The sequence below is a fragment of the Homo sapiens genome, chromosome 16 (genome assembly GCF_000001405.40).
Source record: "Homo sapiens chromosome 16, GRCh38.p14 Primary Assembly".
NCBI classification, from domain to species: Eukaryota; Metazoa; Chordata; class Mammalia; order Primates; family Hominidae; genus Homo; species Homo sapiens.
Genome location: NC_000016.10, coordinates 33579409 through 33592422, shown reverse-complemented (window position 1 = coordinate 33592422; position 13014 = coordinate 33579409). Strand labels below are relative to the sequence as shown.

The following is a 13014-nucleotide window of genomic DNA, read 5'->3' as shown; positions in this document are numbered from 1 at the left end:
AGCCACACACAAAAATATCTGATGGGGTAACTTTATAAACACAGCATGGGACATCCAGACAATGGACTATTACTCAGTACTAAAAATGGAGCCTTTTCAAGCAAGCCTTGAAAAGATGCAGAAGAAACATTACCAAGAGCCAACCTGAACATTGCTACCTACCGTATAGCACGCTGTGTGAGTCCAACATTCTGAAAAGCCAAAAACCCTGGAGACAGAAGAAAGATCAGGGGTTGCCAGGACTTAGGGGGAGGGAGGGAGGAACAGGCAGAGCACACGGAGGATTTTTCCAGCAGGGAAACTCTTCTGTACGACACTGCAAAGATGGATCACTGTCACTCTATGTTGGTCAAAAGCCGCAGAATACACAAGTGCAAGAATGAACCCTAATGGGAACTATGGACTCTGGGTGATAATGATGTGTCAGGTAAATTCCTCAATTATTAAAAAAAAAAAAATGCGCTGGGTGCGATGGCTTACACCTGTAATCCCAGCACTTTGGGAGCCCAAGGCAGGCAGATCACAAGGCCAGGGACTGAGACCAGCCTGGCCAACGTGGTGAAACCCCATCTCTACTAAAAATACAAAAATTAGCCAGGCGTGGTGGGGCACACCTGTAATCCCAGCTACTCAGAAAGCTGAGGCAGAAGAATCACTTGAACCCAGGAGGCGGAGGTTGCAGTGAGCCGAGATCACGCCACTGCCCTCCAGCCTGGGCAACAGAGCGAGAATCTGTCTCAAAAAAAAAAAAAAAAAAAAAAGGCCGGGTGCAGTGGCTTACACCTGTAATCCCAGCATTTTAGAGGCCAAGGCAGGTGGCTGGCTTGAGCTCAGGAGTTTGAGACCAGCCTGGGCAACATAGTGAAACCCCTCTCTATCAAAAATACATGGTGGTGGCATGTGCCTTTAAGCCCAGCTACTTGGGAGGCTAAGGTGGGAAGATGGTTTGATACTGGGAGGCAGAGGTTGAAGTGAGCTGAGATCACACCACCACAATCCAGCCTGGGTGACAGAGTGAGACTCCGTCTCAAAAAAAAAAAAAGTGTGTGTGTGTGTGTGTGTGTGTGTGTATGGCTTCTCCTAAATGAAATATGGCAATTACTAACCCCTCATAATTCTTTCTGAAATCTAAAACCTCAGGATTTGTTTTACTTTTTTATTTTTTCAGACCAAGTCTCACTCTGTTGCCTAGGCTGGAGTGCAGTGGCATGATCATGACTCACTGCAGCCTCAACCTCCTGGGCTTAAGTGATCCTCTCATCTGAGCCTCCCAAGTAGATGGGACTACAGGCATGTGCCCCCCATGCCTGGCACATTTTCTCTAATTGTTTTGTAGAGATGGGGTCTCACTGTGTTGCCTAGACTGGTCTCAAACTCCTGGGCTCAAGTGATCCACCCACCTTGGCCTCCCAACATGCTGGGATTCCAGATGTGAACCACCACACCCAGCCTAGGACTTGTTTTATTTATTTATTTATTTTTATTTTTTGAGACAAAGTTTTGCTCTTTCACCCAGGCTGGAGTGCAGTGGCGCCATCTCGGCTCACTGCAGCTTCTGCTTCCGGGGTTCAAGCAATGGTCCTGCCTCAGCCTCCTGAGTAGCTGGGATTACAGGTGCCCGCCACCACACCCAGCTAATTTTTGTATTTTTAGTAGAGACATGTTGGTCAGGCTGGTCTCGAACTCCCAACCTCAGGTGATCCACCCACCTCGGCCTCCCAAAGTGCTAGGATTACAGGTGTGAGCCACCGCACCTGGCCCTAGGACTTGTTTTAAAGTTTACTCATGAACCAAGGGGTGTGCAGACAGCTTCTCCCTAATTCATGACTAAGGAGAAACCACCTTTCACCATGCAGACAGCCTGGTGCATTGTTAGGAAAAGTCATCCCCCTTTCCTTTGCTTTCCATGAAGAAGGCATCAGTAGCCAACCATTGGCTACAGAAACATTCAATTCTGATACGCCCCCACCTTCTAGGATGTATTCTCCTTTCACTGACACTCCTAACGACACTCAGAGAAGGGGTGCAGCATCTCCAAAGTACTTTTTTTTTAGGTTTTTGGTGTTTTTTGTTTTTTGTTTTTTGTTTTTTGATACAGACTCTCACTCTGTCGCCCAGGCTGGAGTTCAGTGGTGCAATCTTGGCTCACTGCAACCTCTGCCTCCCAGGTTCAAGCAATTCTCCTGCCTCAGCTTCCCAAGTAGCTGGGACTACAGGCATGTACAACCATGTCCAGCTAATTTTTGTATTTTTTAGTAGAAGCAGGGTTTCACCATATTGGACAGGCTGGTCTCGAACTCCTGACCTCATGATCCACCTGCCTCGGCCTCCCAAAGTGCTGGGATTACAGGTGTGAACCACCGCACTCAGCCTTTTTTTTTTCTTTTTTGAAACAGGATTTCACTCCTATCACCCAGGCTGCAGTGCGGTGGTGTGATCTCGGCTCACTGCAACCTCTGCCTCCCGGACTCAAGTGATTCTCCTGCCTCAGCCTCATGAGTACCTGGGACTACAGGTGCATACCATCGTACCCAGCAAATTTTTGTATTGTTTGTAGATATGGGTTTTTGCCACGTTGCCCAGGCTGGTCTCAAACTCCTGGGCTCAAGTGATCTGCTTGCCTCAGCCTCCCAAAGTGTTGGCAATATAGGCATGAAAGCCACTGTACCCAGCCCCCCAAGTATTTAAAGTATACTAATCTTTGAAAACACCAACTGGGTCTACGGCCATACCACCCTGACATGCCTGATCTTGTCTGAAAATACCAATTGTGGAGAAGAATCAAATCCTCTACTTCCATTTTTTAAATCTGATCTAAGCTGAGTGTGTAGCTCATGCCTATAGTCCCAGCTACTCAGGAGGCTGAGGCAGAAATATCACCTGAGCCCAGGAATTCAAGACTAGCCTGGGCAACACAGTGAGACCCCGTTTCAAAAGAAACCTGATCTATTTCTGTTTGGTGCTTTTGTCTCACTGGACAAGACCTGATTTTCTCTCTCTCTCTCTCTCTCTCTCTCTCTCTCTCTCTCACTCACTCACACATACACACGCATGCCCCAGTCCAATCTGAGACAAGAATCTTGCTTCTGGCTAATTCCACTTCAGAGCCCTGTGCTTCCCCAGTGATACAACAAGCAAGAAAAATGTCTCCTCTCCTTGGCTCACTTGTTCTGAGAAGCAAGAGGCCACAGTCTGTTGGGGCCATCTCCCTCGGATCACCTTCATAAATAAATACCAATGTATTGACACCTTTCTAGACTTCCCTGGATAAATGCAAGATAGGAAAGGGGGCTGAGGTGCACAGGGGTGCACCCCGGAAAAATGCAAGATAGGAAAAGGGGCTGAGGTGCCCACAGAGGGGCGTCTGTGATGCTGAGGCTCCAAAACTGTGGCTGCCATAACACGTGAAGCGCCAGCGCAGACCTCCAGCACCTACCAGGTGAACAGGAATCCCATCTGCCATGTGGGTGGGAATAATCGATTCTCAACAAAGCCCAGCTGGATGAAGTATGTCATCAGCAGTTCCACCCTGGCCTCATCCCGGCTGGGCGTCCGACAAGCCTGCGAGGAAAAGAACCCCAGAGGGCATGAGCAGAGGAGGACACAGCTGACAGCCCTTCCCGGAAGGTGCCCTGCACATACCAGCAGATGCCTGTAACTATTTCTGCAGTATGACGACCTCACTGCTGGCATCATCAACTCTAGGAGGGGTGGAAAGAACCTGGGAGGAAGTCAGAAATCCTGGAATCCAGTCCCAGCCCTGCCAGGAGGCAGGTCTCTCCCCTTCTATGGTTTTCCTTTTTTTTTTTTTTTTTAGACGGAGTCTCACTCTGTCACCCAAGCTGGAGTGCAGTGGTGCGATCTTGGCTCACTGTAACTTCCACCTACCAGGTTCAAGTGATTCTCCTGCCTCAGCCTCCCTAGTAGCTGGGATTACAGGCGTGTAGCACCATGCCTGGCTTGTTTTTGTATTTTTAGTAGAAACGGGGTTTTGCGGTGTTAGCCAGTCTGGTCTGAAACTTCTGATCTCAGGTGATCCACCCGCTTCAGCCTCCCAAAGTGCTGGAATTACCAGCATGCACCACCACGCCCAGCTAATTTTTGAATTTTTAGTAGAGACGGGGTTTCACCATGTTGGCCAGGATGGTCTGGAACGCCTGATCTCAGGTGATTCTCCCGCCTCCGCCTCCCAAAGTGCTGGGATTACATAGGCGTGAACCACCGCACCCGGCCTCCTTCTACAGTTTTCTTATGCAGCAAATGGAATGGATGATTCCAGCACCCCCCAGCCATCACCTCAATCTGCCCATGATTCTGTTAAGACCACAAGCGTGCAATAATGGGGTTCCCTGAAAACTTGGAAAAGCTACCCTCCCCTCTCTGCTGCACACAAAAACTTACTTGTCTCAGATCCATAAGATCTGTGATTTCATCTTCATATAAATAGCCATCTTCACTGTAATGTTCCAGGATAAAATCCTTAAAGAAAAGTGAGGTTAGATACTATAAAATGTGATTGAAAACCATGTATGTGCATAACAGTAATATGTCAATTGTGAACCTGTTTCTAAAAAGGCAGAATAAAGAAAAACTTACAGTGATTTTCAAAGTGGGGGAATTTATTTTCTTAATTTATGTAGTTTTTTTTATATGGAGTCTTGCTCTGTAGCCCAGGCTGGAGTGCAGTGGCACAATCTCGGCTCACTGCAACCTCTGCCTCCCAGGTTCACGCAATTCTCCTTCCTCAGCCTCTCAAGGAGCTGGGGTTACAGGCTCCCACCACAACGTCTGGCTAATTGTTGTACTTCTGACCTCAGGTGATCCACCCACCTCACCCTCCCAAAGTGCTGGGATTACAGATGTCAGCCACCGTGTCCGGCCATAGATTTTTTTTTTTTTTTAAACAGGGTTTCACTCCTGTTGCCCAGGCTAGAATGCAATGTTGCAATCTCGGGTCACTGCAACCTCCACCTCCCAGGCTCAAGTGATTCTCATGCCTCAGCCTCCCAAGTAGCTGGGATTACAGGCATGTGCCACCATGCCCAGCTAATTTTTGTATTTTTAGTGGAGATGGAGTTTCACCACATTGCCCAGGCTGGTCTCAAACTCCTGGGCTCAAGCAATCCATCTGCCTCAGCCTCCCAAAGTGCTGGGATTACAGGTGTGAGCACTGCACCCCATGCCTATGTTTTTAAATGCTGTGTTGCTTCAGTAAAAGTGAGAGTTGAAGTTAATTTTTTGCTTAAAAATGTCTTTGTGTCTGCACATCATGGCTCACATCTGTAATCCCAGCACTTTGTGAAGACAGGGCAGGTAAATCACTTGAGCCCAGGAGTTTGAGACTAGTCTATGGACTATACATTCAACCATACTGCAAACACTGCAGATATTCAGGGGCTCAGACTTGCAATTCTGGGCCTCCCTCAGGACCTGGACAAGTTTCCCAGCACAGACCCTGAGGGTAGGACTGTCATAACAGTCCCCTGATACAGGTTTCCTTTGCCAAGAAGACCCTTAACCATGTTATAAAGGCATTTTATTTTATTTTATCTTTGAGGCAGGGTCTGACGTGGTTGCCTAGGCTGGAGTGCAGTGGTGCGATCGCGGCTCACCGCAGCCTCGACTTCTCTGGGCTCAAGTAATCCTCCTACTTCAGCCTCCCAAGTAGCTGGGACCACAGGCACGTGCCACAAGCTAATTTCATTTTTGTATTTTTTAATAGAGATGGGGTTTTGCCCCGTCACCCCACCGCTGCCCCTACAAGTGCTGGCTCCCCCAAGCTGCAAGAAAGGTGATCACATAGATCGCTCAATTATGTCTTCCCAAGTGACTGTGTAACCTCTTTACACAACTTCTACATTAAAGCTCCTCCTGTTTTTGTGTGTTCAACGTACAGACACACAGACAAACACTTGTCTTACAAAAATGGATTTGTACTAAATATACAACTTTGCTGTGCCTTCTTTTTCTTTTTTTAAGAGATGAGGGTCTCGCTCTGTCATCCAGGGTGGAGTGCAATGGTGCAATCATAGCTCACTGCAGCCTTGAACTCCTGAGCTCAAGTCATCCTCCCACTTCAGCTTCTCCAGTAGAGGGGACTATAGGTCTGCACCATCACACTCAGCTAATATTGTTATTTTTCGTAAAGACAGAGTCTTCCTATGTTGCCTAGGCTGGTCTTGGACTCCTGGCCTCAGGTGATCCTCCCACCTCAGCTTCCCAAAGTGTTGGAATTACAGGTATGAGCCACTGCGCTCAGCTGACTATGCCTCTTTTCTTTAAACTTGGCCATGGGCTGGGTATGGTGGCTCACACCTGTAATCCCAGCGCTTTGGGAGGCTGAGGTAGGTAGATCACTTGAGGTCAGGTGTTCCAGACCAGCCTGGCCAACATGGTGAAACCCTGTCTCCATTAAAAATTAAAAAAATAAAAAAATAAAATAGCTGGGCATGGTGGTTAAAAGGGGTCAGGTGTAGTGACTCATGCCTGTGATCCCAGCACTTTGGGAGGCCAAGGTGGGAGAATCACTTGAGACCAGGAGTTTGAGACCAGCATGGACAACATAGTGAAACCCCATCTCTACAAATAATAAAAAAATTAGCCAGGCGTGCTGAGGCAGGAGGAGGATCACTTGAGCCCAGGAGGTTGAGGCTGCAGTGAGCCATGATCACGTCACTGCACTCCAATCTTATGTTCACCTCATAAAAGTCAAAGAGGATTTTGATTAAATTATATATGTGATCCTGAATTTGAAACTTAGTAAACTAGGGTAGATTAATGTACTTAGTGGGATAAAAAAAATTATCTAACTGGCCAGGCACGGTGGCTCACCCCTGTAATCTCAGCACTTTGGGAGGCCGAGGCAGGTGGATCACTTGAGGCCAGGAGTTCGAGACCAGCCTGGCCAACTTGGTGAAACCCCATCTCTACTAAAAATCCAAAAATTAGCCAGGCATGCTGGCAGGTGCCTGTAATCCCAGCTACTCAGGAGGCTGAGGCAGGAGAATAGCTTGAGCCCAGGATGTGGAGGTTGCAGTGAGCTGAGATTGAGCCATTGCACTCCAGTTTGGATGACAGAGCGAGACTTCATCTAAAAAAAAAAATCCTAACTGAAACCCACTGTAAACATTAGGGACAAAATGAGAATTTCTACCATCACTGTTATTACTTAGCCTAATTCCAAACATTCTCTAGCCCACACATTAAGAAAAATAAGAGACATAAAATCTTGGAAAGAAACAAAATAATTTTTTGCAACACAACAGCATGTTTATAAAACCCAATAGCATCAACTGAAACATTACTAAATTAATAAGAATTCAATAAAGTGGCAAAGAAGTTAACACATGAAAGTCAATAGTAAAAAAGAAAAGTCAATATTTTTCCTTTCTTATACAAGCAATAACCAATTAGAAAAACTTAACAGACAGCCAGGTGTGGTGGCTCACATCTGTAATCCTGGCAGTTTTCAAGGCTGAGGTAGGCGGATCATTTGAGGTCAAGAGTTTGCGACCAGCCTGGCCAGCAAGGTGAAACCCTGTCTCTACTAAAAATACAAAAAATTAGGTGGGTATGGTGGCAGGTGCCTCTAATCCCAGCTACCCAGGAGGCTGAGGCAGGAGAATCACTTGGACCTGGGGGGCAGAGGTTGCAGTGAGCCAAGACTGCACCACTGTACTCCAGCCTGGGCGACACAGTGAGACTCTGTCTCAAAAACAAACAAACAAACAAACAAAACCTAACAGAGAAACAATACCTTTCACAATAGCAACAAAAATACATTTCTAGGGATAAAATTAATACAATTAAGCAGAAAACTATTAAACTTTACCGAAGAACAGATGTGATTTCATTTTCTTTCATTGATTCGAATTTTTTTTTTTTTTTTTTATGAGACAAGGTATCATTCTGTTTTCCAGGATGGACTGCAGGGGCTCAATCACAGCTGACTGCAGCCTCGACCTCTTGGGCTCAAGCAAGCCACCTCAGCCTCCTAAGTAGCTGGGACTAAAGGTGTGAGCCACTGTCCCTGGCCCTATTTCCTCAAAATAAAACAAAATCAGCCAGCTGCAGTGGCTCACGCCTGTAATCCCAACACTTTGGGAAGCTGAGGCGGGTGGATCACTTGAGGTCAGGAGTTCGAGAACAGCCTGGCCAACATGGTGAAACCCTGTCTCTACTAAAAATATAAAAATTAGCTGGGTGTGGCGGTGGATGCCTGTAATCCCAGGTACTCAGGAGGCTGAAGCAGGAGAATCGCTTGAACCTGGGAGACAGAGGTTGCAGTGAGCCAAGACTGTGCCACTGCACTCCGGCCTGGGCTTCAGAGCGAGACTCCCTCTCTAAATAAATAAATACATAAAATAAAACAAAATCACACTGTGAAGCTTCACTGATTATTAAAAAAATCACACGGACACACAAGTCACATTTGAAATGGAATTGCTCTAATTCAGTCTGCTGAACCACTTCTGCAGTACCTGTGTTTCTCTCAAATATAGAAGGGAAAAAATACAACAGAAAATCCCTCAAACGTTCTCATTTTCATATGACTGACATTTGTAGAGTCTCTTTTAGGCTAAAATGACATGGTTGGAAGCCTGTGCCGAATGGCAGTTGGCCATGTCCACAACATGTGAATATTTTCATTTGCTTTAATGTGGAATTCAGAACATGACCCAGTTGAATCCTTAAAAATGCCTATAAAATTCCTAAGTTTCTCCAAGAGACTCTTCCTTTGAAATGCTTGCATTCTTGGCCGGACGCAGTGGCTCATGCCTGTAATCCCAGCACTTTGGGAGGTTGAGGCAGGCGGATCATCTGAGGTCAGGAGTTCAAGACCAGCCTGGCCAACATGGTGAAACCCTGTCTTTGCTAATAAAAATTAGCTGGGTATGGTGGCACATGCCTGTAATCCCAGCTACTTGTGAAACTGAAGCAGGAGAATCGCTTGAACCCAGGAGGCAGAGGTTGCAGTGAGCTGAGATCATGCCATTGGACTCCAGCCTGGGCAACAAGAGTGAAACTCCATCTCAAAAAAAAATGCTTACATTCTTGTAGCCCAGCACCAAGCAACAAACAAATTATATCGTAAAGAAACTTCTACAATAGCAGCAACAGACATTTCCAAACAGGTGGATTGTTTTGAGTCCCACAGACCAGTGGCAAGTCACATCTATTTTTGCATTTATATATACACACATATATTTTAAATAAAAATAGAGATGGGGCTGGGTGTGGTGGCTCACATCTATAATCTCAGCACTTTTGCTGGAGGTGGAAGCAGGAAGATCGCTTGCGGCCAGGAGCTGAAGACCAGCCTGGGCATCATAGTGAGGAGACCCCATCTCTTAAAAAAGAAAAAAAAAAAAGAGAGAGAGAGAAAGAGATGACTGTGCATGGTGGCTGATGCCTGTAATCCCAGTACTTTGGAAGGCCAAGGTGGGCAGATCACCTGAGGTCAGGAGTTCAAGACCAGCCTGGCCAGGATGGTGAAACCCTGTCTCTACTAAAAATACAAAAATTAGCCTGGCGCAGTGGCTCACACCTCTAATCCCAGCACTCTGAGAGGCCGAGGCAGGTGGATCATGAGGTCAGGAGTTCAAGACCAGCCTGGCCAGGATGGTGAAACTCTGTCTCTACTAAAAATACAAAAATTAGCCGGCGTGGTGGTGGGTTCCTGAAAAACCCCAGCTACTCAGGAGGCTGAGGCAGAGAATTGCTTGAACCTGGGAGGTGGAGTTTGCAGTGAGCCGAGATCACGCCACTGTACTCCAGCCTGGGCGACAGAATGAGGCTTCATCTCAAAAAAATATACATATATACACGCAAAAATTAGTTGGCCATGGTGGTGCATGCCTGTAGTCCCAGCTGCTCAGGAGGCTGAGGAAGGAGAATTGCTTGAACCCAGAAGGTGGAGGTTACAGTGAGCTGAGATCGCACCATTGCACTCCAGCCTGGGCAACACAGTGAGACTGTGTCTCAAAAAAAAAAAAAAAAGAGAGAGAGAGAGAGAAGGCCTCATTCTGTTGCCCAGGCTGGTCTCCAACTCCTGGCCTCAAGCTGTCCTCTTGCCTCAGCCTCCCAAAGTGCTAAGATTATAGGTGTGAACCATTGCATCTGGGCATAAGTCTCACGTAAAAGTTCAGGCAGGCTGTGGCAGTGTGGCATAAAGCTGCAATTCCTGGATTGTTTTCATTGCTTTCTACCCAGAACATAAACTTTCTGGTAAACTTGAGTCCTGAAACACTCAGAATACCAACTTCCCTTCTCCAGTCCCAAAATAAACCCCAAACTCACAGGATTTAAGCAAGGCAGCAGTCAAAAAGGCCTCTATTTATGTCAAACAACTCACCGTCTCTGAGAATGAAGGTCAAGTGCTTCCAAAGTATTAACCAATTGCTTTTAAAAGTAGTAGTTGGCCAGGAGCGGTGGCTCACACCTGTAATCCCAGCACTTTGGGAGGCCGAGGCGGGTGGATAGAGTACGAGACCAGCCTGGCCAACATAGTGAAACCCCATCTCTACTAAAAACACAAATTAGCCAGGCATGATGGCGGGTGCCTGTAATCCCACCTACTCAGGAGGCTGAGGCAGGAGAATCACTTGAACCTGGGAGGTGGAGGTTGCAGTGAGCTGAGATGGCCGTCACTGCCCTCCAGCCTGGGCAACAAGAGCGAAACTCCAGCTCAAAAAAAAAAAAAAAAGAAAGAAAGAAAGAAAAAAAAAGTAATAGTCAAAATGTCATAAGATGTTTTCTTTTCTAAACTAAAAGTAGTCCAAGATGAGCCAACTAAGAGGATTATCATGGAAAGTAAAATAAGCCAGGCACAGTGGCTCATGCCTATAATCCCAGCACTTTGGGAGGCTGAGGCAGGAGGGCTGCTTGAACCCAGGAGTTTGAGACCAGCCTGGGCAACAGTGGGAAACTCTGTCTCTACGAAAAATACAAAAATTGGCCGGGCTTGGTGGCTTATGCCTATAATCCCAGCACTTTGGAAGGCCAAGGCAGGTGGATCACCTGTGGTCAGGAGTTCGAGACCCACCTGACCAACATGGAGAAACCTCGTCTCTATTAAAAATACATAATTAGCCAGGCATGGTGGCACGTGCCTGTAGTCCCAGCTACTCGGAAGGCTGAGGCAGGAGAATCGCTTGAACCCAGGAGGTGGAGGTTGCGGTGAGCCGAGATCATGCCATTGCACTCCAGCCTGGGCAACAAGAGCTAAACTCCATCTCAATAAAAAAGAAAGAAAAATGCAACAATTAGCCAGGCACGGTGGCACATGTCTGTATTACCAGCTACTCAGGAGGCTGAAGTGGAAGGATCAACTGAGCCCAGGAGGCAGGGGTTGCAGTGAGCCAAGATCATGCCACTGCATGCCAGCCTGGGTGAAACAGTGAGACTCTGTCTCAAAATAATAAAGAAAAAGAAAAAAAAAGAACATAAAATATTTCTTCGAAGCAATTTTCGTGATGCTAGGATTAATTCCTATAACCAATGCCTGGGCTGCATGATGCAAACTTGGGCCACCCTGCACCTCATCCCCTTTCCCCTCCTTGATGGAATTTGGAGGCGACTGGTTAAAAACTCAAATTGATGGAGTTGAAGAGGGAAGGAAGAGGAGGGTATTCCAGGCACAGGATGGTCTCCCAGCCCCAGCATTGGGGCATGGTCTCTCCTGTGTTCTCCATTGAAGCACCCCTTCCACTTCCCACTTGAATCCCCCACTGACCCAAGGGCCCCGCAGGCAGGGCTTGTGGCACCTCTGGCACCCAGCACAGTGCCAGGCACAGGTGGGCTTATGAGGATCTGCCAAATGGGAGAGGAGTCCAGATACCCAGGAATGTGGCAGGGGGACACACAAGCAAAGACTCTGGTTATTCAAATATTTAATGGGAGTGAATTGACATCTTTGATTTCCTTTGAAATTGCATCACAAATAAGACAGACTGATATTAGCCATTAATTTCATTCTCTTTTTTTTTTTTTTTGAGACAGTTTCACTGTTGCCCAGGCTGGAGTGCAGTGGCACAATCTCAGCTCACTGCATCCTCTGCCTCCTGGGTTCAAGCGCCTCTCTCATGCCTCAGCCTCTTGAGTAACTGGGATTACAGGCAAATGCCACTATGCCCAGTTAATTTTTTTTTTTTTTTGAGATGGGATCTCACTCTGTCACCCAGGCTGGAGGGCAGTGGCATGCATGATCTTGGCTCCCTGCAACCTCCACCTCTACCTCCCAGGTTCGAATGATTCACCTGCCTCAGCCTCTCCAGTAACTGGGATTACAGGTGTGCACCACCACGTCCAGCTAATTTCTGTACGTTTGGTAGAGACAGGGGTTTTACCATTTTAGCCAGCCTGGTCTTCAACTCCTGAGCTCAAGTGATCTGCCTGCTTCAGCTTCCCAAAGTGCTGTGATTACAGGCATGAGCCACTGTGCCCAGCCTTTAGCCATTACTTTCAATGGCAAAAACTGCAATTACCTTCAAACCAACCTAACAGACACAAGAATACACAGATGGACAAATATGTCAGGAAGCAATGCTGATAGTATGTTCTTGGAAGAAGTGAGTACACAGGGGTTTGCTAGAAAATTCTTAAAATTTTTTGAAAAGTTTGGAAATTTTCATAATAAAATGTTAGAGAAAAAACTTTAGCTATTCTTCCAAAGACATAACCTAAACTGGATACATGATTTAAGAAAAAAATACGCTATTAATAAAAGAGGATGTAAGTTTTAAATTTCAAAGCATATCCATGACAGACACTTCTGACGCTTCCCCTCCAGCTCTGAAACCACCCCGGTGCCCTGTGGAGGACCAGCACCAGGAAACACACATTCCATAGGTGACTCAAGGTTTCCAAATCCAGGGAGCTATTTTCCAACTGAGTTTCCCCTGGGGCCCACCTACTTTTTGAGAAGTCTCATGCCCACACTGAAAAAGCACGTAAACCCTTCTTTGAACTGTCTCAAAGTTATTTCTCCTTAAAAAGAAGCATTTCACTTAGGGT

General features: G+C 46.6%; 1 pseudogene; it reads right to left on the bottom strand.

Moving 5' to 3' along the window:
* Nucleotides 1–13014, bottom strand: part of LOC102724181 (rhophilin-2-like) — a 55052-nt pseudogene that overhangs the window by 34427 nt on the left and 7611 nt on the right.